The sequence below is a fragment of the Homo sapiens genome, chromosome 12 (genome assembly GCF_000001405.40).
Source record: "Homo sapiens chromosome 12, GRCh38.p14 Primary Assembly".
Lineage (NCBI taxonomy): Eukaryota > Metazoa > Chordata > Mammalia > Primates > Hominidae > Homo > Homo sapiens.
This window is the reverse complement of record NC_000012.12, coordinates 50982598-51010040: the sequence shown is the minus strand read 5'-3', so window position 1 is coordinate 51010040 and position 27443 is coordinate 50982598. Positions and strand designations below refer to the sequence as shown.

General features: G+C 43.1%; 1 protein-coding gene across 37 annotated transcripts in view; it reads left to right on the top strand.

Annotated features, from left to right (window-relative positions):
* SLC11A2 (solute carrier family 11 member 2) overlaps positions 1-27443 on the top strand; it is a 76624-nt gene that overhangs the window by 18846 nt on the left and 30335 nt on the right. For 16 of the 37 annotated variants that reach the window (XR_001748720.2, XR_007063077.1, XR_007063078.1 and 13 more), the window contains 14 exons: positions 1417-1565; positions 4605-4730; positions 5134-5253; positions 9622-9728; positions 10626-10696; positions 10800-10867; positions 13069-13224; positions 14254-14412; positions 15411-15497; positions 17112-17231; positions 17702-17851; positions 18369-18442; positions 19093-19246; positions 21606-21659. Coding sequence is in view for 21 of the 37 variants with exons in the window: in XM_047428887.1 (XP_047284843.1) it covers positions 1417-1565; positions 4605-4730; positions 5134-5253; positions 9622-9728; positions 10626-10696; positions 10800-10867; positions 13069-13224; positions 14254-14412; positions 15411-15497; positions 17112-17231; positions 17702-17851; positions 18369-18442; positions 19093-19246; positions 21606-21659 (1595 nt within the window). In the remaining 16 variants the exon portion in view is untranslated. Of the gene's footprint in view, positions 1-825; positions 925-1416; positions 1566-4363; positions 4731-5133; positions 5254-9621; positions 9729-10625; positions 10697-10799; positions 10868-13068; positions 13225-14253; positions 14413-15410; positions 15498-17111; positions 17232-17701; positions 17852-18368; positions 18443-19092; positions 19247-21605; positions 24050-27443 lie in introns of those variants that run through there. The other 21 variants (NM_001379455.1, NM_001174125.2, NM_001174128.2 and 18 more) reach the window with 11 other exon arrangements.

Below are 27443 nucleotides of genomic sequence, written 5' to 3'. Positions count from 1 at the left end.
GGCTAATGTTTTTGTATTTTTAGTAGAGATGGGGTTTTGCTATGTTGGTCAGGGTGGTCTTGAACTCCTGACCTCAGGTGGTCCACCCGTCTCGGCCTCCCAAAATGCTGGGATTACAGGCATGAGCCACTGTGCCCGGCCCTGAAAACAGATTTTTAACCAGAGACCTGCTTCGTATCTTTTTTACAATTCTGAGTTGAGCCAAGATTAGCTGAAATTTGGTTTCTGGCAGTAATGCTTGCAAGGGCAATGTTATTCCCAGACCCAGGATAAAAACCTCTGGAGTGTTTTGGCTACTCATGATGCTTCCTGGTGTTTCAGATGTGTATGGAGCAGTAAAATACAGGGCGAGTACCTTACGCTCTGTATTTGATTGGAGCTTCTTGAGTGCTTTGACTATTCCTTCCTAAATCTGAGCTTCTTTGGAATTTCTGTTCCTTTTCTATAAATTTCTTCATTAATTTAAAGCTGCTTAATTAAGATGATATGAGTCAGCTCCCTATGGAAAGAAAGCTCTTATTTGTTTAAATTAGAGGTTGTAAGGATTTATTGCAAACACAGAGATTAGAGCTTTGTGATTCAAAATAGCCATTTGATGGCTGAAGCAAACTAGGCTCTGTGTATTTCTGGCAGGGTATCCCTTTTCTCCCAGACCTTCTGCTTCCCAATATTTAAGATTGACTGCAAAATGCAGAACTCAGGGAAACGCTGATATCAGTCTGAGATGAGCCCTGCCATCACGAGGGTGCCAGTACCCCGTGACCGGCGGCACTTTACTGCAAGCCTTAGTCAGAGTACAAAGGGTTCCTGCTTGGTGGTTTTGCTGCAGCTTCAGAGTTTAGCCTGAACTGTGGCAGGATTTTGTAACTTGCACATTTTTTGAGAAGTCTGATGGAGGTATAATGTCCACGGTCGATTATTTGAGTAAGTCCTACCAAATATAGGAGGTGGGGAGGACATTTCGCTAGACAGGCCTAGTTCTTTTCTTTTAAAAGCTAGGATTTTAGGTTACCAGGAGCTGGTCTGGGAATATGATATTTTGAGCCCATATGTCAGTGTTTTTAGAGGAAAATGAAATGGCTCTAAAAATTCCCAAGTAGGAGTAGAAGTGTGGAAGTAGGAAAACCATTGTGAGTTAAAACTGATCTAGAGAATTGAGTGACTGGGGGAGGGGGAGGGAGATAACTTTTTTAGTGTAGGCTAAATTTTTTACTTCCTGAATTTTTAACCATGTGAATGTATTACTTATTCTAAAATGTACATTAAAAATAAACTATTCAAAATAAATTGAGCTAGAGTCAGGTTGGTCTCTTGTGCATTTAGATATTAAACTATTTAATTTCAGTATACTAAGGATGAATTGTTAGTGTATTTTGTTCATTTTTTACTAATTTATTTTCAAATCTGTTAATTCAGACAGTGTTTCTGGAGATCATGGGGAGTCTGCCAGTCTTGGTAACATCAACCCTGCCTATAGTAATCCCTCTCTTTCACAGTCCCCTGGGGACTCAGAGGAGTACTTCGCCACTTACTTTAATGAGAAGATCTCCATTCCTGAGGAGGAGGTTAGTATCAGGTCCTTGGAGGAGAACACTATTGTCTGGGGAAAACCTGTGAGTGAAAGATCTGCTGGATGGCTCAAGTTCAGCAGCCTCAGGTTTAATTTTGGCTGGCAATCTCTGAAGACTATATCTATATATCTATATATATATATACACACACACACACACACACACACCCCATCTATATCTATCTATCTCTGTCTGTCTGTCTGTCCGTCTATCTATCTATCTATCTATCTATCTATCTATCTATCTGTCTATCTAATCTTTTTTACAGACAGGGTCTTGCTCTGTCATCTAGGCTCCAGTGCAGTGGCACAACCATAGCCCACTGTAGCCTTGAATTCCTGGGGTCAAGTGATTCTCCCACTTCAGCCTCCCCAGTAGCTGGGACTATAGATGGCATGCCACCATGCCAGGCTCATTATTTTTATTTTTATTTTTAGAGACAGGGTCTCACTATGTTGCCCAGGCTGGTCTTGAACTCCTGGCCTCAAGCTATCCTTCCTCTTGTTTGTTGATGAAAAAGAGTCAAACTCTGGCTGAGCCCAGGCTCACACCTGTAATCCCAGCACTTTGGGAGGCTAAGGCAGGAGGATCACTTGAGCCCAGGAGTTTAAGACCCGCCTGGCCAATATGGCGAAACCCTGTCTCTACAAAAAATACAAAAATTAGCTGGGCATGGTGGTATGCACCTGTAGTCCCAGCTACTCGGGAGGCTGAGGTGGAAGGATCACTTGAGCCTAGGAGGCAGAAGTTGCAGTGAGCCAAGATCATGCTATGGTACTCCACTCTGGGTAACAGAATGAGACCTCCTCTCAAAAACGAAAACCAAAACAAAACAGGCCAGGCGCGGTGGCTCACACCTGTAATCCCAGCACTTTGGGAGGCCGAGATGGGCAGATCACCTGAGGTTAGGAGTTCAAGACCAGCTTGGTTAACATGGTGAAACCCTGTCTTTACTAAAGATACAAAAGTTAGCTGGGCGTAGTGGTGGGTGCCTGTAATCCCAGCTACTCGGGAGACTGAGGCAGGAGAATCACTTGAACCTAGGAGGCAGAGGCTGCAGTGAGCCAAGATCGCGCCACTGCACTCCGGCCTGAGTGACAGAGTGAGACTCTGTCTCAAAACCAAACAAACAAACAAGAGTCAAACTCTGTAAAATGTTTAAAGAGGTTTATTCTGAGCCAAATATGAGTGACCAAGGCCCGTGACACAGCCCCAGGAAGTCCCGAGAACATGTGCCCAAGGTGGTTGGGTTACAGCTTGATTTTATACGTTTTAGGGGTCAGAAGTTACAGGCAGACATCAGCCAATATATTTAAGATGTACATTGGTTCCATCAGGAAAGGTGGGACAACTTGAAGTGGGGAGGGGGCACCTTTCAGGTCAAAGGTGGATTTAAAGATTTTCTGATTGGAAATTGATTGACACTGGGTGCAGTGGCTCATGCATGTAATCCCAGCACTTTGGGAGGCTGAGGCGGGTGGATCGCTTGAGCCCAGGAGTTCGAGACCAACCAGCTTGGGCAATGTGACAAGACCTTGTCTCCAAGTAAAAAAAATAAAATAAAATTAGTTGGGTGTGGTGGTGCACACCTGTGGTCCCAGCTACTTTGGAGGCTGAAGTGGGAGGATTGCTTAAGCCCAGGAGTTCAAGACCAGCCTGGGCAACATGGCAAAACCCTGTCTCTACAAAAATAAAAATAAATAAAAAAAGAAATTGGTTGAAAGAGTTATTTTCTAAAGACCTGGTCTAAAATGAGGGGCTGTGGAGTGTCTAAAATGAGGGGTTGTGAAGACCAAGGTTTTTATTATGTAGGTGAAGCCTCTAGGTAACAAGCTTCAGAGAAAATAGATGTAAATGTCTTTTATCAGACTTAAAAAGGTACCGGACTCCTAGTTAATTCTCTCCGGGATCAGGAAAAGACCTGAAAAGGGAAGGAGATTCTATATATTCTAGGTTTTGCTCATAAGAGACAGCTTTGCAGGGTCATTTCAAAATATACAAAGAAATATATCTTGGAGTAAAATACTTTGATTTCTTTCAGGGCCTGTTATCTGTCATGTGATGCTATGCTAGAGTCAGGTTGGAATTTAGCATGTTATTGCTACAAGGAATCTGTTTTGTCAGTTTTAAGATCTCTGGTTTTTGTTTGTTTGTTTGTTTGTTTGTTTTTGAGACGGAGTTTCACTCTTGTCGCCCAGGCTAGAGTGCAATGGTGCAATCCTGGCTCACCGCAACCTCCTCCTCCCGCATTCAAGTGATTCTCCTGCCTCAGCCTCCCGAGTAGCTGGGATTACAGGCATGTGCCGTTACGCCCACCTGTTTTTGTATTTTTAGTAGAGACAGGGTTTCTCTACTAAAGTGTTGGTCAGACTGGTCTCGAACTCCCAACCTCAGGTGATCTGCCCGCCTTGGCCTCCCAAAGTGCTGGGATTACATGCAGGAACCACTGTGCCTGGCCAAGATCTCTGTTTTAATGCTGGTCATTTGTGTCTGAATTCCAAAGGGACGGGAGTATAATGAGGTTTGTCTGACCCCTCCCTCCCATCATGGCCTGAACTAGTTTTTCAGGTTTTCTTTGGAATGCCCTTGGTCAAGAAGAGGATCCGTTCAGTTGGTTGGGGGAGCTTAGAATTTTATTTTTGTTTGCTCTCCTCAGTGTCCCAAGTAGTTGGACTATAGGCACACACCACACAGCACCACACCTGGCTTGTTTCCTTTTTAAAATGGTGGCTCTTGTCCTTTTTGGGAAGTGTTTGGGCACAGAGGTACTGATACTGTTATTCTGGTTTTAGAATAAGAGGCTGATGGAACCTGCAGGTAAGGGAAGAGCTTTGACTTGGACAGAGAAGTGGCCAGCTTCTTAATAAAAAGTGGGTAAGATGGAGGTGAAACTTGGACACATGCAATATCTGACATTGTAAATCCTTTTTTCTTGTGAGGCTGGATTTTGTTGCTTCATATGTGATAACAGACCAATTATATCAGTAGTTCAATGGTGATGTTCAGTTTAATCTCTTTTCCTCTCTTGTACAGTACTCTTGTTTTAGCTTTCGTAAACTCTGGGCTTTCACCGGACCAGGTTTTCTTATGAGCATTGCCTACCTGGATCCAGGAAATATTGAATCCGATTTGCAGTCTGGAGCAGTGGCTGGATTTAAGGTGAACATCTAGTCCTACCCCTGTCCTTTTAAGCACATAATACACTCTCACATCCTTTTCTCCACCCTGCATGTTGGATAGTAGCCTCAGGGGCTACATGCAGATACTTCATTGGCAGTGGCTCTTATGTGTAAAGTACTTTCCATTTGGTCTTATTTTTATCCACATAGTTTCCTTGAACAAAGGAGAAACTACATATAGGAGAAACTGAGGCTCAGAAAGGTACAAGGTGACTTAGCAGGTCATGTGCAAAATCTGTTATAGAACTCAAGTCATTTGATTCTTGACCTGGGCTCTTTTCTGAATGCAGTATTTACCACTCATGTTGCCAAACAACTAAACAAACAAACAGACAAAAACTCAGTTGTTCAATGAGTGTTACAGGAGATTTTGTTCTTCTTAGTTGCTCTGGATCCTTCTGTTGGCCACCCTTGTGGGGCTGCTGCTCCAGCGGCTTGCAGCTAGACTGGGAGTGGTTACTGGGCTGCATCTTGCTGAAGTATGTCACCGTCAGTATCCCAAGGTGAGCAATGTATTGTCCTGTTTGTCTCTCACCCATGCCATAGGAATCTGTGTGTCTGGCGGTATGTGCTGGCCTCATTCTATAGTGAGACAGTCAAGGACTTGGGGGTCAGTGGCCCTGAAGACAGACGGTACCAACGGAAATACTGTAGCTCCTCCTGCTGCCAGGCCATGTTTTCCCCCTCTTTCAAAATCTAACTTGAGACTCGCATTTCCTAGAAGGTTTTCTTAGAAAAACTGTGTTACCATTCACTCTGGCTTCCAGTATCTAGCAATGCCCAGCCCAAGGGGAGGAGGATGCTCTCTCTAAGCACTTTTATTCATACCTCCATGTTACTCCATCAGTTTGCATTTTATATATGTTCTTTTTTTGTTTGACTTTGCCATCACTTTGAAAAAGTAATTTTTTTTCTTTTTAGTACAAACTATATGTGGCAAGATCTTTGGATTTGCTAATAATTATTTTTCAGTTTCCCCTCCCACCGGGGGCTACACTGTCCTCTGCAGCTTCTTCTGGACATTTTGGGCCTTTCTTACCGTTGCCTAAGGCAAGAATGAACACTATGTCTGGAAGATATTTTTAACTTAGTTTTGTCTCTTGTTTTGTTTCTTTTCCTGGGTGTGAGCAAAAAGTATCCTTATCTGCTTTTCAAAAAAATAAAAAAATCTTGATAATATCCCCATTTACTCTGATGTGATTATTACACATTTTATGCCTATATCAAAATATCCCATATGCCCCATAATATATACACCTACTATGTACCCATAAAATTTTTAAAAAACAAACAAAACCTTGGTAATTTATAATCCTTCTAGCTTCTTTTTCTTTCTTTCTTCTTATTTTTTGAGACGGAGTCTCACTCTGTCACCCATGGTGGAGTGCAGTGATGTGATCATGGCTCACTGCAGCCTTGACCTCCCAGGCTCAAGCGATTCTCCCATCTCAGCCTCCCAAGTAGCTGGGACCACAGGCGAGCACGACCACACCCAGCTAATTAAAATTTTTTTTTTTTTTTTTTTTGTGGAGATGAGGTATTGCTATGTTGTCTAGGCTGGTCTCAAACTCCTGGGCTCAGGCAGTCCTCCCACCACAGCTTCTCAAAGTGCTGGGACGACAGGCATGAGCCACTGCACCAAGCCTAGCTTCTCTTTCTTCATACACGTTAATAGTTATTTTGTAATAATAATTATATATATATATATTTGTTTGTTTGTTTGTTTTGTTTTTTTTTTTGAGACAGAATCTCACTCTGTTGCCCAGGCTGGAGTTCAGAGTTCAGTGGTGTGATCTCAGCTCACTACAGCCTCTGCTTCTTGCAGTGAGGCGATTCCAGGGATTCTCCTGCCTCAGCCTCCTGACTAGCTTGGATTACAGCCACGTGCCACCATCTGGCTAATTTTTGTATTTTTAGTAGAGATGAGGTTTTACCATGTTGGTCAGGCTGGTCTTGAACTCCTGGCCTTAGGTGATCTGCCAGCCTTCGCCTCCCAAAGTGCTGGGATTACAGGCATGAGCCACCGTGCCCAGCCTGCTTTTTTGTTTGTTTGTTTGAGACGGAGTTTCACTCTTTCACCCAGGCTGGAGTGCAGTGGCGTGATCTCAGCTCACTGCAACCTCCGCCTTCAGTTTCAAGTGATTCTCCTGCCTCAGCCTCCCGAGTAGCTGGGATTACAGGTGCCTGCCACCATGCCTGGCTAATTTTTGTATTTTTAGTAGAGACGGGGTTTCACCATGTTGGCCAGGCTGGTCTCGAACTCCTGACCTTGTGATCTGCCCACCTCGGCCTTCCAAAGTGCTGGGATTACAGACGTGAGCCACTGCGCCTGGCCTTGTTTTGGTATTTTTGAGATGGAGTCTCACTCTGTTGCCCAGCCTGGAGTACAGTGGCGTGATCTCAGCTCACCACAACCTCCGCCTCTTGGGTTCAAGCTATTCTCCTGCCTCAGCCTCCTGAGTAGCTGGGACTACAGGCGTGCATCACCACGCCTGGCCAATTTTTGTATTTTTAGTAGAGATGAGGTTTCACTATGTTGGCCAGACTGGTCTCAAACTCCTGACCTCGTGATCTGCCCGCCTTGGCCTCCCAAAGTGCTGGGATTACAGGCGTGAGCTACTGCGCCTGGCTCTGCCCTTTTTTTTTTTTTTTGAGACCAAGTCTCGCTTTGTCACCCAGGCTCGGGTACAGTGGTGTGATCTTGGCTTACTATAACCTCAACCTCCCAGGTTCAAGCGATTCTCCTGTCTCAGCTTCCCGAGTAGCTGGGATTACAGGTGCGCACCACCACACCCAGCTAATTTTTGTATTTTTAGTAGAGACAGGGTTTCACCATGTTGGCCAGGCTGATCTCAAACTCCAGACCTCAAGTGATCCACTTGCCTTAGCCTCTCAAAGTGCTGGGATTACAGATGTGAGATACTGTGCCTGGCCTGTTTTTTTGAGATAGGATCTTGCTCTATTACCCAGACTAGAGTTCAGTGGCACAATCATGGCTCACTATACCCTTGACCTCCCAGGCGCAAGCAGCCTTCCTACCTCTGTCTCTTGAATAGTTGGGACCACAGGTGTGCACCATGATACCCAGCTATTTTTAAAATTTTTTGTAGAGACAGGGTTTTGCCATGTTGCCAAGGCTGGGCTTGAACTCCTGGGCTCAAGTAATCCTCCCACCTCTGCCTCCCAAAGTTCAGGGATTATAGGTGTGAACTACCATGGGTGACCTGACAAATTTTTTGGATGCTAGCTATCTGGAGGTGTTTTTTTCTGGCTTCAGTGAGTCAGCATAACTAAATCTGATTTTCAGCTGTATTGTTTGGCCAGATAAGTTTCTGACTTTGTTATATGCCACCCAGTTCCAACCATCTTCCCTTGAGTCCTTTTGCATACGTGGGCATTATTATTACATTAAAGGTGACTCCAACCTTTTCTGTTGTTGTGGTGGTGGTTTGTTGAGACAGTCTTGCTCTTGTTTGTTGCCCACTCTGGAGTGCAGTGGCATGATCATAGCTCACTGCAGCCTTGACCACTGGGGCTTAGGCTGTCCTCCTGCCTCAGCCTCCCAAGTAGTTGGGACTACAGGTGTATGCCATCATGCCTGGATACTTTTGTACTTTTTTTTTTTCCTATAATTTTTATTTTAGGTTTGGAGATGGATACATGTGAAGGTTTTTTCTTTCTTTCTTTCTTTTTTTTTTTTTTTTTGTGAAAGCAAGTTTATTAAGAACGTAAAGGAATAAAGAAAGGCTATTCCGTAGGCAGAGCAGTCACATGTGAAGGTTTGTTACATAGATAAACACGTGTCATGGGGGTTTGTTGTACATATTATTACATCACCCCGATATTAAGCCCAATACACAATAGTTAACTTTTCTGCTTCTCTCTCTCCTTCCACCCTCCCCCATCAAGTAGACCCCAGTGTCTGTTGTTTCTGTCTGTGTGTTCATAAGTTCTTATCATTTTGCTCCCAATTTTTATACTTTTTGTAGAGATGGGGTTTTGCCATGTTGCCCAGGCTGGTCTCAAACTCCTGGGCTTAAGGGATCTACGTTGGCATCCCAAAGTGCTGAGATTACAGGAATGAGCCACTGTGCCTGGTCCACCCCAACCTTTTTTTTTTTTTTTTGAGATGGAGTCTCGCTTTGTTGTCCAGGCTGGAGTGCAGTGGCGCAATCTCAGCTCACTGCAACCTTCGCCTCCCGGGTTCAAGCAATTCTCCTGCCTCAGCCCCCTGAGTAGCTGGGATTACAGGCATGTGCCACCATGCCCAGCTAATTTTTGTATTTTTAGTAGAGACGGGGTTTCGCCATGTTGGCCAGGCTGATCTTGAACCCTGTCCTCAGGTGATCCACCTGCCTCAGCCTCCCAAAGTGCTGGGATTACAGGTGTGAGCCACCGCGCCCAGCCTGACCCCAACCTTTTCATGTTTGTTTTGTCTTCCCAGCTATGGTCAGGATAGATATGTTCTTCTGCAATCATTTAATATTCTTTCTTGACCCATATTTGGACCGTATTAGCATCCTTATTCTCCTCTAAACTTTTTAGGATTGTTTTTAGGAAATTAAGTGGAAGTTAGTAAATGGCAATTATATTCTTCTCAAGTAGAAAGGAAAAAGAAAAAAGTAAGATCAATTACTGCCTTGACCTTCGTTCACAGGTTCTGCCACGTGGTAGCACACTTTTCCTTCTCCAGGTGAGAGCCACAGTGCAGTGATCGGCCAAGTGGAGGCACGTTCTGGTATTTCTTCTCTAGTCTGGAGGCTTATAAAGGACTGTTTATGGTTTAGTGCCAAAATGTGAATTCCAAATTGTGGAGGAATTTTTTAGAAATGATTAATCAGAACCGTGTCTTTCTACTGTTTGATGTTTAGGTCCCACGAGTCATCCTGTGGCTGATGGTGGAGTTGGCTATCATCGGCTCAGACATGCAAGAAGTCATTGGCTCAGCCATTGCTATCAATCTTCTGTCTGTAGGAAGGTGAGGGGTTTTCCTCTAGAAAGTCATCAGTGTTTTGCTGGATTTCCAAGCAGAGATAAAAACAAAAACCCAATTCATTTTTAATTTTGAAGACTCAACTCAATTGTTATTTCTTCTGTGGAACCTTTCTGGAAACAATTTCTTCTCCCCTGGTAGATGTAGACTCTACATCTTCCGTTTCCCATGGTGGGTTATGCTTACCTTTATTAGAATGTGTGGCGTTTTGTATCGCAATTATTGATTTGTATGTCATTTTATCCCGCTAGATACTATCTTTTTATTTTATTTTATTTATTTATTTTTTTGAGACAGAGTCTTTCTCCGTCACCCAGGCTGGAGTGCAGTGGTATGATCTTGGCTCACTGCAACCTCCGCCTCCCAGGTTCAAGCAATTCTTGTGCCTCAGTCTCCTGAGTAGCTGGGATTACAGGCACCTGCCACCATGTCCAGCTAATTTTTGTGTTTTTAGTAGAGACGGGATTTCACCATGTTGGCCAGGCTGGTCTCTAACTCCTGACCTCAGGTCTAGGAATGCCCGCCTCAGCCTCCCAAAGTGCTGGTATTACAGGCGTGAGCCACTACACCCAGCCCCCACTAGATACTATCTATCTAATCCTATAAAATTCTATCTGTCTAACTCCATGAGGGTAAGACCCAAACTTTTCAGCTTTGTATCCTAAGAGTGACATAGTAGACTCTCAAAGTTTAAATGAATGTAATTAAGTTGATGCTGTTACCCTACTTTACCCAAGGCCTAGTTTTCTGCCATTGTCCCTCCTCCCTCAAGTCCTAGCTTCTCCAAGTGTTCTTTATCTGGAGAGCTGTTGGGAAGAGAGTGTTTTTCAATGTTTCCTTTCTTTCCGTCTCTCTGACTTCCATATCTCATCTCTGACCTAGAATTCCTCTGTGGGGTGGCGTTCTCATCACCATTGCAGATACTTTTGTATTTCTCTTCTTGGACAAATATGGTAAGGAGAGCGGGAATGGGAGGGTCAAAGGAGCTGCTCTCTGTCATGTGGCAGATGGGGAAGTCTACCTTCTCTGAGCTCACTGCTGCCTTTTTTCCTTTAGGCTTGCGGAAGCTAGAAGCATTTTTTGGCTTTCTCATCACTATTATGGCCCTCACATTTGGATATGAGGCAAGTGGTACAGGATATTCATTAGCTTCTTAAAATAAGTTTTTGTGGTTTTTTTTTTTAGCCTTTTATTATAAAAGACAGTAATAATGCTAGTATGATTCACTTATAGTGGGTGTATCAACAAAAAGCCAATTTTTCCCTGGGCCAATTTTAAAGGAATATGATCTATAGCAAAGATTAGCATGCAGAAAGGCCTGCAGGGGCTCCCAGGTTTAAAATGACTAGATATTTTAGGGCTTTCCAGACTAGATTCTTTGGTCCCAAGTTGACCATCTGACAACAGAACAGCCATGGATAGTGTTAATTAAGGAGGGGGTTGCAGGGTTATTCTTGGGTGTTAACTTACAGGAGTTCTGCTTTTGTTCATCCTGGTTTATATTAATTGCAGCTTGAACTTTCCCAATATTAAAACAGTTAATGAATTATATGAAATATACTGGATATTTCCTGGTTTGTGCCCCAACCCAGAAACTCCTTAGAGTCACTAATATTATTTGCAGTACTAGCACCTTTCTTTGTACAATTCTTATAAACTGATTTCTGCTTACTGGTCTGGCTGAACTTTAAAAAATATATGTAATCTATGGGTTGATTATGCCTCTTGGCCTAAGGCTTCCAAGAGAAATACTGAACCGGGGAAGAGTATATATGAGAGTGTTTAAGGATGAGTCTCTCATTACACACGTACTAGTGGCAAACAGCAAATGATTTTTAAATGAACATGGGTGAACAGAAGTATGCTCAGTATGGATAATAAAAATTGATTCTATATTCTTTTTTAATTTTTAGATTTTTATTTATTTATTTATTTTTGAGCCAGAGCGTTGCTCTGTCATGTAGGCTAGAGTGCAGTGGGTGTGATCTTGGCTCACTTGCAGCCTCCGCCTCCCAGGTTCAAGTGGTTCTTGTGCCTCAGCCTCCCAAGTAGCTGGGATTATTGGCGTGTACCACCATGCCTGGCTAACTTTTTGTATTTTTAGTAGAGATGGGGTTTCTCTATGTTGGCCAGGCTGGTCTTGAACTGCTGACCTCAAGTAATCTGCCCATCTTGGCCTCCCAAAGTGCTAGGATTTCAGCTGTGAGCCACTGTGCCTGGCCCTGGTTGTATATTTTTGAGCCTTGTGGAATTACTAATAACCACAAGTCCCTTAGCAGCTTTTTCTTTTTTCTTTTCTTTTTTTTTTTTTGAGATGGAGTCTCCCTCTTTCGCCCAGGCTGGAGTGCAGTGGTGCGATCTCTGCTCACTGCAACTTCCACCCCCAGGTTCAAGCGATTCTCCTGCCTCAGCCTCCCACGTAGCTGGGATTACGGGTGCCCGCCACCGTGCCTGGTTAATTTTTGTATTTTTCGTAGAGACGGGGTTTCACTATGTTTGCCAGGCTGGTCTTGAACTCCTGACCTCAGGTGATCCACCCGCCTTGACCTGCTAAAGTGCTAGGATTACAGGCGTGAGCCACCATGCCTGGCCTTTTTTTTTTTTTTTTTTTTTTTTTTGAGACAGAGTCTCACACTATTGCCTATGCTGGAGTTCAGTGGCACGATCTCAGCTCACCTCCTGGGCTCAAGTGATCCTTCCACCTCAGCCTCCCTAGTAGCTAGTACTATAGGTATGCACCACCACACCGAGGTAATTTTTGTAGAGATAAGGTTTTGTTGTGTTGTCAGGCTGCTCTTGAACTCCTGGGCTCAAGCAATGCGCCTGCCTTGGTCTCCTAAAGTGCTGGGATTATAGGCGTGAGCCACCGCACCCAGCCCTTTCTTTAGAAATTAATTATGTATCATACACATCTGTTTCATATATCTAAGATGTGTTGTAAACTATCCGGATACTCAGTCTTGAATTCTCTGGCCCCTAATAGTAAGCCCCTTATGTTGCTTGGTCCTATGATGATTCTGTATTCCTCATTATCTTAGGTAGTTGCAGAAGAAAAGATTTTGGCCAGGTGTGGTGGCCTGTAATCCCAGCACTTTGGGTGGCTGAGGTGGGAAGATTGCTTGTTCTTGGGAGATTGAGGTTTCAGTGAGCTGTGATCATGCCACTGCATTCCAGCCTGGGTGACAGAGCAAGATCCTATCTCAAAAAATATAAAAATAAGGAAGAAGGCATTGTAAGGGATAAAGGATGCTAACTGTTCCCTGGTACTATGTTACTCCCGTTTCACGTTCCTGTAAAGGCTAATCATTGTTATGTTGGTATGTAGTATGTTACAGTGAAACCCAGCCAGAGCCAGGTACTCAAGGGCATGTTCGTACCATCCTGTTCAGGCTGTCGCACTCCACAGATTGAACAGGCTGTGGGCATCGTGGGAGCTGTCATCATGCCACACAACATGTACCTGCATTCTGCCTTAGTCAAGGTGAGCAAGGCCCTTATCTCCTTCACCTCCTAGACAGTTCATGGGATCTTTTCCTTCAATTGCAAGGGACACAAAGTTAGTTTACAATTATTAGGACCATGAAGGAGCAAGGTATTTTCCAAGCCTGGACATTTATAAACTCCATATACTTAGATGCTGTTTTTATCACCAAATTGACCAGAGATTACTAACTGCATAAAGCAGGTGGGGCTAAAGTTCTTTTTTTTTTTTTTTTTAAATTGAGATGGAGTCTCACTCTATTGCCCAGGCTGGAGTGCAGTGGCGTGATCTCTACTCACTGCAAACCTCTCCCTCCCGGGTTCAAGTGATTCTCGTGCCTCAGCCTCTTGAGTACCTGGGATTATAGGCGTGCACCACCATGCCTGGCTAATTTTTCTATTTTTAGTAGAGATGTGGTTTCACCATGTTGGCCAGGCTGGTCTCGAACTCCTGAGCTCAAGCAATCCACCCGCCTTGGCCTCCCAAAGTGCTGGGATTACAGGCGTGAGCTACTGCACCCAGCTGGGACTAAAGTTCTTCATAAAAGGTTGGAAGTGCATCAAGTCTCTTGTGTTTAAATTTCAAAAGCTCGAGTGGCCTTATGGAGGTCAGGAGTAAAGGAGCCCAAACAGGCTTTTACTGTCAGTATTATGTAATAGTTTGCTGGGAGATTTTAGAAACCTTTATAAATAGGTATATGCACACCTTAGGACTGAAATCAGGTCGTTTTTATAGGTCAGTGGTCCTTCCAGCCACTGAGAGTAACTGAGAGCTCAGTAGTCATTTAGTCTCTGTTCCCTATTTGGGGAATGTACAGTTCAACGAAAGGGCATGAAGTTCTTTTTTCTCCCCCCATATGAAGTTCTTAATTGCTCAGTGAACTAGGATGTAGGTGAGTGTTGGATCTCTCACTTTTCGTCTGGTCAACTTTTGTCCCCTAAATCTCTCAGCTGACTCCAAACTCCTGAAATGTCACAAGGAAACTTGTTCTAACTGGTCAAAAAGTGACTGCTGTTGTTATCTTTCTAGTCTAGACAGGTAAACCGGAACAATAAGCAGGAAGTTCGAGAAGCCAATAAGTACTTTTTCATTGAATCCTGCATTGCACTCTTTGTTTCCTTCATCATCAATGTCTTTGTTGTCTCAGTCTTTGCTGAAGCATTTTTTGGGAAAACCAACGAGCAGGTGGTGAGTAAGCCAGGGTTATGGGTGGTAGTGAATGTGAGGGTAAAGTGAAGACTGCAATGGGATGGGGAAGGAAAATACCTCATCCTAGTGTTAATGTTCAGGAGAAATAATCTCTAGCTTCTCGTCTGCCCCCCAAAATCACTGTGCACCAGTCAGAGTCTACAGTATGGGGCTGACCAAGCCTGGACCCTCTTTCTCAGCTTTTGTTTGGGAGTAGTCAACAAACAGAAAACAGAAACTGTGATGATGACAGACTTTGTCTTGTCATTTTGAATTCTGTATCAATCTTGATTTCTGATTACCTATGTAGTGTTTTTTTTGAGACGGAGTCTTGCACTGTCATCCAAGCTGGAGTGCAGTGGCACAGTCTTGGCTCACTGCCTCCACCTCCTGGGTTCAAGCGATTCTCCTGCCTCAGCCTCCTGAGTAGCTGGGATTACAGGTGCCTGCCACCACACCCAGCTAATTTTTTGTAATTTTAGTAGAGATGGGGTTTCACCATGTTGGCCAGGCTGGTCTCAAACTCCTGACCTCAAGTGATCCACCTGCCTCGGCCTCTCAAAGTACAGGGATTACAGGCGTGAGCTCCTGTGCCTGGCCTGCCTGTGTAGTTTTGATCACCATTTGTTTCCCGTCTATGGAACCTCTGACTCCTCTGTCTGCTTTGACTGAGGATTCTATTCTGGGTGTTCTCTCATGTCTGAAGCCTTCTTCAGAGCCTCTCCTCTTGTCATCATTTAAAGTACCCCAGCGTTTGTACATTATTACCATGCACACTGTAACTCAGTAAAGATTTTTGATGACCTGTGGGTGTAGAAGGATTATAGAGGAAGATCCTAGATAACATTGCTGCTAGTCTCTGCCCACATCACAGCATATGTCCAGTGTTTTCCCTCCAGCCTACCTCTTATAGATGATTGTGTATGATATGTAGGAGAGCTCTTATTTGGTCCTTGCTTCTGAAACAAAAGTTGCTGTTGAATTGCTTTGGGTTCTAGGTTGAAGTCTGTACAAATACCAGCAGTCCTCATGCTGGCCTCTTTCCTAAAGATAACTCGACACTGGCTGTGGACATCTACAAAGGGGTAAGCATGTTTGGATTTGTGATCTTTGTTCCTGAATCAGTATTTTTAGCATAGTATGTGGTCTTTTTTGTGACTTCACTTCAGATATGAGCATATCTCCTCTGGAGTGTCATTTATTTCAGAGTTCCAGACACCAGACAAGCATTTTGGATTAAATGGGAAGGAATAGAGGATCAGTTGAAAAGATATATAATACAGGCCGGGTGCGGTGGTTCACGCCTGTAATCCCAGCACTTTGGGAGGCTGAGGCGGGTGGATCACTTGAGCTCAGGAGTTCAAGACCAGCCTGACCAACATGGTGAAACCCTGTCTCTACTAAAAACAAAAATACAAAAATTAGCTGGATGTGGTGGTGGGCACCTGTAATCTCAGCTACTCAGGAGGCTGAGACACGAGAATCGCTTGAACCTGGAAGGCAGAGGTTGCAGTGAGCCGAGATTGGGCCACTGCACTCCAGCCTGGGCGACAGAATAAGACTCTGTCTTTAAAAAAAAAAGGAAAAAAAAGATGCAGTATACACCCCAGCTTTTTTTTTTTTTTTTTTTTTTTTTGGAGACAAGGTCTTGCTCTGTTGCCCAGGCTGGGGTACAGTGGCTCGATCATGGCTCACTGCAGCCTCCACCTACCTGGTCCAAGTGATTTTCCCATCTCAGTCTTTTGGGTAATGGGACTGCAGGCAAGCACCACCATGCTTGGCTATTTTTTTTTTCTTTTTGAGATGGAGTTTTGTTCTTGTTGCCCAGGCTGGAGTGCACTGGCGTGATCTTGGCTCACTGCAATCTCTGCCTTCCGGGTTCAAGTGCTTCTCCTGCCTCAGCCTCCCAAGTAGATAGGATTACAGGTGTGTACCACCACACCTGGCTAATTTTGTATTTTTAGTAGAGATGGGGGTCTCTCCATGTTGGTCAGGCTGGTCTCGAACTCCTGACCTCAGGTGATCCACCCCCCCCTCGGCCTCCCAAAGTGCTGGGATTACAGGTGTGAGCCACCATGCCTGGCCTTGTATTTTTTTTGTAGAGTCAGGGTATTTGCCATGTTGCCTAGGCTTGTCTCAAACTCCTGGGCTCAAGGGATTCTCCAACCCTGGCCTCCCAAAGTGCTGGGATTACAAGCGTGAGCCACCCTACCCAGCCCCAAGAAAGTGTTCTTAGTAAAGTGTTTTTACTGGAGTCTCTCAGTTCTTTTATGCTGGTTACATTGTGATCCTCCAACAGTAGAATATATAGTGTGTAGCATTTCACCAATTTATTTGATATTTCCCTGTACTTCTATTGCCATTTTCCAGAATAGTGTGTAAAGGAATATAATTTGGGGAAAGTGGTGTAGACCTCTTTTTTTTTTTTTTTTTTTTTAATATTTAAGATGGAGGTTTAGGAGCTTGGAGAAGAGAAAGGACTAGGCAGAGAAACGAAGGAGCATCCAGTAAAGTTTAGACTGAAAGCTTCTGGAATGAGGTCCAGACTTGAGCCTAGCTTCTGGCACAGTGCGCAGCACAGCACTTGGTGTTGGTGGTGCATAGCAAAGAAGGGAGAAATGCCACAGGGAACTGCTGTTTTGGATATTGTCTGAGCAGATTATTGCCACAATCATATCCTTCCTCTTGGCCTCTCACAGGGTGTTGTGCTGGGATGTTACTTTGGGCCTGCTGCACTCTACATTTGGGCAGTGGGGATCCTGGCTGCAGGACAGAGCTCCACCATGACAGGAACCTATTCTGGCCAGTTTGTCATGGAGGTACGTGCTGGTATAGGATAGAGGGAGATAACACAACCCTTTTGTTACTTCTTCTTCTTCTTCTTTTTTTTTTTTTTTTGAGATGGAGTCTCACTCGTCGCCCAAGTTGGAGTGTAATGGCATGATCTCGGCTCACTGCAACCTCCACCTCCCGGGTTCAAGTGATTCTCCTGACTCAGCCTCCCGAGTAGCTAGGATTACAGGCTCTGGCCACCATACTCGGCTAATTTTTTGTATTTTTAGTAGAGATGGCGTTTCACCATGTTGGCCAGGCAGGTCTTGAACTCCTGACCTCAAGTGATCTACCCGCCTTGGCCTCTCAAAGTGCTGGGATTACAGGCGTGAGCCACTGCGCCTGGCCCCTTTTGTCACTTCTTAATCCCATTCTTCTGAGGTCTCTCCTGAACCTCCCCAAAACTTTTTTTTGTTTCCTGTTGCAGACAGTCATCTGCTCCTATGTTTTCTTCCAGGGATTCCTGAACCTAAAGTGGTCACGCTTTGCCCGAGTGGTTCTGACTCGCTCTATTGCCATCATCCCCACTCTGCTTGTTGCTGTCTTCCAAGATGTAGAGCATCTAACAGGGATGAATGACTTTCTGAATGTTCTACAGAGCTTACAGGTGAGGAGGAAGCTGAGGAAACACATCCTAGTTATTCAGGTAGCATTATGTACTGCCCTTGGGTACCAAGCCTAGCTGAGTGCTGGGGGGATATTGAGAGGAAGACAGAGGCATGGTTGTGGTCTGCAGTAAATGTATATGAAATCCTTGGCATCTAAAAGGATTTTAGAAATGGTTGGTTTTTTAAACCTGTTGAATGGGAACTATGAACTTTACTTACATATGGGACACAAAATTGTAGTTCATTAATGCAAGCAAACATTAAATGAACATATAGGACACTGTGCTAGGTCCTGTGGAGGTTAAGAAGACAAGTCACATACAAAGGTTTGTATGCTAGGTTAATGACAGCTCTGCAGAATTCAGCATAATGCCCAAGCATGTTGGGATGATAGGAATAATTATTTCTCATGGAGTAGTTGAGGCAGCATTTATGTTTCCCTTTCATTAATTGTGCTGTTCTCTAGGGTGATACAAGGACCCATAGTAATCCCATCTGATCTTCTTTCTTTTCCAGCTTCCCTTTGCTCTCATACCCATCCTCACATTTACGAGCTTGCGGCCAGTAATGAGTGACTTTGCCAATGGACTGTGAGTGTACTCCTCTTCGTTCCCAAAGGGGATGCTGATATGGGGAAAGGGTATCTTCATGCAGTAGGCCAGTCAGACGTGAGACACAGAGGGAAGCGATATGCTTTGAGAGGTGATTGCTAGCTGCTTCCTCTTTGGCTTAGAGAATGGAAACTGTGAATATAGTAAAGGAAGAGAAAGCACGTCTTTCATATGAAGGGGAGAGAAAGTTCAGCTTTTACAGCATAACTCTTCAGCTTCAGCCACTGAAGTTTGAGGCACCTTAATTCTTTGTTAAATGATCTTAACAAAAAAGGCATAAGTTAGTACCTTTTATATATATCTTTAAAGGATATGAGGTATCTGAAGTGACTTGTTGCATTTTTGGGAACGTTAATAAAATGGCTCATTGCGTTTCTAGGCCTTGTTGCATCTCTAGGGACTTAAATATTAGGGATTATTTGTTGGTGTCTTTTCCCCCCTCTTTCTCCCTGTCTACCAGTATCTAACTTTGGGTGATTTAACTTAGACTTATGAAGAATCATTTTTTTTCAAATTAAGAACAATTTTTCCATTCATTTTGAACTGCCTCTAATTCCCATCCTGTTTCCTTTTCTGTCTGTGGCCAAGTTGGATTATTCCATCAGTGACTGTGCTGATTTCTTTTACAGAGGCTGGCGGATTGCAGGAGGAATCTTGGTCCTTATCATCTGTTCCATCAATATGTACTTTGTAGTGGTTTATGTCCGGGACCTAGGGCATGTGGCATTATATGTGGTGGCTGCTGTGGTCAGCGTGGCTTATCTGGGCTTTGTGTTCTACTTGGTAAGTCTAGCCTGGAAGAGCAGGGGCATAGGTATCAGGGATGGTTGAGGTGGGGTTCACTGACATTCAGAAATGAACAGACCCAGGCTGGGCACAGTGGCTCATGCCTATAATCCCAGTACTTTGGGAGGCTGAGGCGGGAGGATTGCTTGAATCCAGGAGTTAGAGACCAATCTGGGCAACATAGTAAGACTCCATCTCTACAAAAAAAGAGAAATGAACAGACCCAAAAGAGCACATAACAATCTACCTCCAGGTGATCGAGACAATGTATATGGAATTGTCAAATCAGCTGTTTACAAAATAATATTTCTAACCATAAAATTCACTTTGGTTACTAAGATTTGTCATTTTTCAATTTCTGTCACTTCTGTAGTTTCCATTCTTAGTAATTCCTAACAAGAGAGTATAGTATGTTTGAGGAACTAAAAGAAGGGTAGCAGTACAGAGAGTGGAGAACGGTACAAAACAGAGGTGGAGAATAGGGCATGCAGTGTGATTTAGAGATTCGGGGTGGGACACATGTGGCACACAGCCCCACTCAGCTCCATCACTTACTAGCTGTCCAAGGAAATAATTAAATAGTGATAGTCTCCCCTTGACTCTCTCATTCTAGAGTCATTTTTTAAAAATCATGGTTATAAAACTATAGCTACATGAAAAAGGTATGTAAAATTTATATTTCAATTATAAAAAATTTTTTAAGAAGTCTAGAATTATATAAAAATGGCAATATAGTTGTTGTAGGAAGCTAGGATTATAGATATATTCTTCTCTATTTTCCAAATCTTCTTTAGCATTGCTTATATTAATGAAAAACAGCCAAAATAACAACAGATCCATTTCCCTGTTCTATACAGGTTTCTTTGAAAAGACACAGGGGTTAGGGATAAGGAATAGTAGAATTTATACCATTTTTGCTGCAGAGAATGGCTACAGATGGAGGCTGGAAACCTGCTGTTAATCTCTAGAACACTTCCCCACACCAGTGTGCCACACATTAGATACTTTATTAAGAAAATCACTTCAGTAAATGTTGAAAAATTATTTCCTAGATCTCTTCTTTTTTTCTTCCCAATAAACTTTGTGCACACAAAGACTGTACTGACCCTATGATCTAGGAACTTAACTTCAAGGAAAACCAAGTAACTGAATGTGTCCTTGACAGGAATTGTTTTTAAAAATTCACTATAGAAGTTAGGGGGATCCTTTCAGAATGCAAATTGGATATGAAGATGCCAGTTTGTCCTCAGTCAGCCTAAGGCTAATGAGCTTGTTGAAGACCCATTATTATTATTATTTTTGAGACAGAGTTTTTCTCTATCGCCCAAGCTAGGGTATAGTGGCATGATCTTAGCTCACTGCAACCTCTGCCTCCTGGGTTCAAGTGATTCGCCTGCCTTAGCCTCCTGAGTAGTTGGGACTACAGCCATGTGCTAACCATGCCTGGCTAATTTTTGTATTTTTAGTAGAGATGGGGTTTTGCCATGTTGGCCAGGCTGGTCTCAAACTCTTGACCTCAGGTGATCCACCTGCCTCAGCCTCCTGAAGTGTTGGGATTACAGGCATGAGCCACCGTGTCTGGCTTGAAGACCCATTTTGAGAGGAGAGGGCTGATTCTAGAGTGGGTTACTGTTGTTTAACTTCAAAACAGGAACTTCATAGAGCAGCTTAGGAGACTACACCAATTGTATTAGTCTGTTAGTCATTCTTATCATGGGGAGGACTGAGGAAAAGTGGACTTCCGAGAACTTACAGTTGGGTAAAAGAAACAAACAACAGGCTGGACGAGGTGGCTCACGCTTGTAATTTCAGTGCTTTGGGAGGCCGAGCCAGGAGGATTGCTTGAGGTTAGGAGTTTCAGACCAGCTTGAGAAATATAGCAAGACACCTTGTCTCTACAAAAAAAAATAAATTAGCTGGGCATGGTGGTGTGCGTCTGTAATCCTGGCAACTCAGGAGGCTGAGGAGAGAGGATTGCTTGAGCCCAGGAATTCGAGGCTTCAGTGAGCTATGATTGCACCACTATACTCCAGCCTGAGCAATAGAGGGAGACCTTGTCTCTAAAATGTAAAATAATAATAAAGATTTTAAAAAAAAGGAAAACCACAGACACAAAGCAGTAAGAACAGAGAAATTCAATATTTAAAATAGTATGGACAAACTTTGTTGAGGAAGGCAGCTGATTTTTTGAAGGGGGAGTGGGGTTGAGAGAATGACTTGTGCAACCCTTGGTGGTAGAAGATGGGCACAGCTGGATGTTCAAGGAAGGGAGCAGGTTTGCATTTGAGAAGTGCTGTGTGAGCAGTCATGGCTCTTCAAAGAGCCTGGTGAGTGATGACCATATTTTGTCTTTCAGGGTTGGCAATGTTTGATTGCACTGGGCATGTCCTTCCTGGACTGTGGGCATACGGTAAGCATCTCTAAAGGCCTGCTGACAGAAGAAGCCACCCGTGGCTACGTTAAATAACACTGGATTAGTCTGTCTTCTGCAGGTAGCCATCAGAGCCAGTGTGTTTCTATGGTTTACTGTGTGAACATAGCCAAAAGTATGTGCCGTTGCACAGACTGTGTTTATGACTCAACCGTTGGTTGGAAAAGACTTTGTTTCATGTGTATTTGAAAGATGGAATTATTTTTTCCTTCCTGACCTAACCTTAGAACTGGATTAGGGTGGGATCTTTGAAAAGCTGACATTTGCTGCTATCATTCCAACACTAAATTCTTAAGTAGTTGCCCAAGGGCCAGCTCAGTTTATCCTTCGGAGAGACAAGGATATGCATGATTCTTAACCAGGCTATATGTTAAAAAAAAATTGGAAAATGCAATACATTTTTTATTATACAAACTACAGAATGAGTATGCAAGTTTTATTTATCAAAATGTAATGGATTTTTAAAGGCTGAGAAATTTTCCTTATACCTACCTTTTCAGTTATTTTAATTATACCAAATTATCAACTAGAATAGCTTCATCCATATGAAATATAAAATGAAGAGACACCTAGCTCTATCAGGCTTAGGATTCTTTGAACTTATTTCCACTTTAATTTCTCAGTGGAAGTTAAGAGGGGTGAGAAAACAAAGAAGGGGAAAAACTGACAACTAACAAAACCAGCACCACATCGCTAGGTGGTGCTTACTAATTACCTTCTCAGGATTTTCCTCAGATTGAAAAGCTTATGAGGATTTCTTGGGAGTCTTAATAACCTGCCTGTTAGTACAGAGCTTTCCTGATGATATTTACTCTTGAGCACATGTGGTTGTAAAACCTTAACTTTCTTTCTCCAGGAGGGTGGTGATAGAAACAGATGGTAGTATTTATGAACTGATGTTCTCGTGAAATGTTGAGGGTGGGGAGAAAAGACTTTAAGGGAGGAGAGCCATCTATTTTGTTCCTAAAGCCACCTCTCAGCAGAATCGTCATGTTTTTCTGATGCACCGCTCTGCTTCATGCCCAAGATGACTTGCGAGGCAATCTCAGGAGCTGTGGACTTAACCGTTGCAAAGCACACTGTCTTTCTCAGCGTTCTCTGCAAGTCAGTAGGTGTTAGTATGGTTGCAAAGTTCACTGTCTCAGCAAAGTTGAACTGGGCTACCTCTCTACAGCTGTTTCCTCAGAGGGAAAAATCTTGAGACCAGATGGTGGAGCTCTGGAGTCAGAGGAAATGGGTGTCTTCAGCACAAAGCTGCTGCTTTTACTTCAGCCACTTCTGACATTTTTACATACCGAGCCTGAGATTGTGTGATTATCTCAAATCAAATCACTTTGATGGAGATAAATAATCAAAACTGTTTTATAGTCATTGATTTGGTGAGAACAGTAATGGAAAATGGTGTTGAAGGACTTCTCATTTTTGGAGCTTTCCTTCCAGAGTCCTGGCTGATTGGTGTTCGCTGTTCATCTGAGCCCCCAAAAGCATTATTACTGATACTTGCACACAGTCAAAAGCGCAGACTGGATGGATGGTCTTTTATAAGGCATTTAAGGGTACACTACTGTGTTTCACTGACCATACATTTTTCTTAGCCCCTCAAGTAATATAGCACAGAGTTATGAATGACAATTCCCCTAACCATTCCTCTTCATATCTGCCTCTTCCCCTTACCATCGTAATTCTCCAAACTGGTCATAAAGGCACTCTGTGAAGATATTGGGGACTGACATCTTAAGCTCTCACCTGGCTGCAGTAGGAAAGGCCAAACTGACGACAAAAAAAAAATTCTTTATAAAGATGATATGGTAACATGTATCTTTGCCCTGGGTCTGGGTGGGTCCAGTCAGTCTCAGATTTACAAGCATTTAGGAGCCTAGGTAAAAGCTGCTAGTATTCTTTTAAAAGTTATATTTATGACTTGCAATGATAGAAAACTCCTTCCAATTAAATGGCATTTTATAATATTATGTGTGTACTTCACAGTGTTAAAAATACCCTCATACGTTATTGCATTTGATCTTCACAGAAAGTGCATTTTAACCAGTACTCTGGGTGCAATAAATAATATGTAGAAATTTAAGTCCTCCAATTCCAGCATATCCAGTGAGTTTTGACAGTGTGTTTATGTGGAATGTTTAAGGATATACAATTGTACTTTATATAAATTGGTTCTTGTTCTTCTTAAATGTGACATGAAATAATTGTGCTGCTACATTATACTGGAAATTAACAGGGGAAAAGGGAAGAGCTCTTGGCTCCCTTGAGGTTCTGCTAGTGGTGTTAGGAGTGGTTACAACTGAGCTTTTAGTAACCATTTAACCGTATGTAAACTTGGTTTCTAATTAAAAAAAAATTTCTTTTTCCAATTTGGTTTCCTGGGTATTTTTTTAACCTTGAAATAATTTATTAATAGGGTTACAACAACTTTGATACAAAAAATACTGAAACAGCAACTACCACCTGGAATGGCACACTAAGTCCACACTGTTAGGATTTTCTCCTTAGAAAGGATAGAGAAATAAATGGATTTAGTCCTCAGAAAGCTTGGATTAATTGCAGATACCAGGATATTAATTTCCATTTACCCACTTAGTCAAATAGTTTTACCATAGCTAAAGGTCACATCATTACCATGTTGAAACTTGGGAAAAAAATTTTATTCTGCTTTTCTCTAAGCTGACTATTTTCTACCTGTAGCTTATTTCACTGTTTCACTTTTACATTCTATATGTGCTGCCAATGAAAAATTAGTATTTGAAGAGAAACCAAACTCATTTAGCTTAAAGACCAAGGAGCATTTTGGCAGACCTGATATAAATGGAAATATTGACACCATTTATTAAAAACAAAGGCAGAGCTCAGGCACAGTGAACTTTACTAGGCACATGACAGGAAAACTTGAGTCAGCACTTGATTTGTCCCAGGAGTGTCACCAGAACTTCATTTTCCCTTTCTCTGTTGCAAGGCTTCCCTGTGAGTAACACAGTGGAATTCATCTAGGAAGAATTTTGTTCTCCATGTTGTCCTTCCTCATTTAGTGCTCTCTCTTTACTTTGGATTTAATTTCAGAACTAAAATAGGATTCAAAACAATGTGAGGATCCTGTTTTGAAACATTTCCTTTAGCTCTGCCCTCTGGAATACCTTCTGCTCCTTCATTGGTAGGACCAATGAATCTAAATCTGTCAGCTTCTCTAAGTCCCTTAGCTTATGAATTTAAAAATGGCTAACTCAGTACTGTGTTCTAAGGCCTGGCCTGAACAGTTGTATTATCTCATTTAATCCTTGTAACAACAAGAGGATCAGCCTCTATGTAGATGAGTCAACTGGAAGGCCAAAAGTAACTTGCCCACATTTACATTACTAATGAAATGTGCAGTTGGCATTTGAACTCGCATAGCTTAACTCCAGAACCCATGTTTTCATTCCCAAACTATCCTGTGTAATATATAGTATACCCTTCATGTTGGGTTGTCACCAAGCTTTGTTGTTTAGCAGCACAAGGAACATAACACACTGAAGCATTTGTTTCATACTCTGATTAGTGCTAGAATATGCATTAGGCAGAAGTTGCCAACTGGTAGATTTTGGTCCCTGTGCAGAATTTTTAAAAGTAAGTTTGAATGCTTTTGGCAAGTGTAGAGAATGGACAGGGCCCTCTATGGTCCTATCCCAGCAATAGCCAAGAGTTACTAGTTAATAAGTTCACTCATTTGCATTAGCTCTCTGCCCCCGGAAGTATTTTAGCCTATTTCCAGGCCATTTAGTCTCATTTCTCAATGTCTCAGAACAATATAACAAACATCTCCAATGAAAGTGGTCTATCAACTAAGTCATCTAAGTGACACTCTGTGGGCATCACAGGACCAATACTGCAACCCTTGCTTACTACGTATTGAAGAAGTCTACCACCATTGCTCACTTGGGAAAGGCTTCAATGAATTGTCAATATATTTAATTGCTGTTATTTACTTAAGCCTAAATTAAGCAAGCTGATGTCTGAAGAGCTGTTTCCATGTCCTAAAGCCAGTGTAATACAGTGTTTTCCTAGCCCACTAGTTGGAAATAGTTTTATCCTGGGCATCATTTGGTCTAATCTGTCTTCACACAGTCATCACTGCAAGCCTGTGAGGTTATACACTGCAGTTTGTAATGTGTTAAATATATGTGTCGAAGACTCACATGAGATAGTATATTGGTGTACTTGGCATTTTCTTTTTTTTTTTTTCTGAGATGGAGTCGAGCTTTGTCACCCAGGCTGGAGTGCAGTGCTATGATCTCGGCTCACTGCCACCTCTGCCTCCCAGGTTCAAGCAATTCTCCTGCCTCAGCCTCCCGAGTAGCTGGGATTACAGGTGCCCACCACCATGCCTGGATAATTTTTTTTTTTTAAGATGGAGTCTCACTCTGTTGCCCAGGCTGGAGTGCAGTGGTGCGATCTCAGCTCACTGCAACCTTCCCTTCCCAGGTTCAAGCAATTCTCCTGCCTCTGCCTCCCAAGTAACTGGGACTACAGGCACACACCACTAAGGCCAGCTAATTTTTGTATTTTTAGAGATGGGGATTCACCATGTTGGCCAGGCTGGTCTCAAACCCCTGACCTCATGATCCACCCACCTCAGCCTCCCTAAGTGCTGGGATTACAAACGTGAGCCACTGCACCTGGCTAATTTTTGTATTTTCAGTAAAGCCAGGGTTTTACCATGTTGGTCAGGCTGCTCTCGAACTCCTGACCTCAAGTGATCTGCCTGCCTCGGCCTCTCAAAGTGCTGGGATTACAGGTGTGAGCCACTGTGCCTGGCTGTACTTGGCATTTTCAAATGTAGCATTTATTCACATTTTACAAATGAGTAGAATAAGGCTCCAAAAGTATATGTGACATGCTGAAGGCCATAGAAAGTGGCAGAGTTAAGGGCTTGAACCCAACTCCAGTGCCTTTATATTACACTAAAATAGGGATAGTTGCTACCAATAAATTTATAGTCTGCATTCTGCATTAACTTAGAGGCTGTTGGTGCCAAAGGATAACAATAAAAGCTCTGCGTAATAATAATAGGGCTAAAATGAGACTCAAACTTGTCTCAAGGTGTATTCGAGAAGAGAAAAAGTAAAAAGAAATAACTTCATAGCCAGCCTAGGAAACATGGCAAAACCCTGTCTACAAAAAAATTAGCTGAGTGTGGTGGCACACGCCTATAGTCCTAGCTACTTGGGAGGCTGAGATGGGAGGATGGCTGAAGCCCAGGAGGTAGAGGTGGCAGTGAGCCAAGATTGTGTCATTGGCACTCCAGCGTGAGTGACATAGTGAGGCCTTGTCTCTACAAAAAAAATAACAACTTCACAGGTCCCAACACAAACCATCTAGACTCAGTTCTTTAGGAGTGGAGTCTGGAATTGTGGGTTTTTTTTTTTTTTTTTTTGACGGAGTCTCGCTGTGTTGCCCAGGCCGGAGTGCAGTGGCATGATCTCAGCTCACTGCAGCCTCTGCCTCCTGGATTCAAGTGTTTCTCCTGCCTCAGCCTCGTGAGTAGCTGGGATTACAGGCATGCGCCACCATGCCCCGCTAATTTTTGTATTTTTAGTCGAGGGGTTTCGCCATGTTGGTCAGGCTGGTCTTGAACTTCTGACCTGAGGTGATCCATGCGCCTCGGCCTCCCACAGTGCTGGGATTACAGGCATGAGACACCGTGCCCAGTCGGAATTGTTTTTTGTTTGTTTGCTGTTTTGTTTTTTGAGACGGAGTCTGACTCTGTCGCCAGGC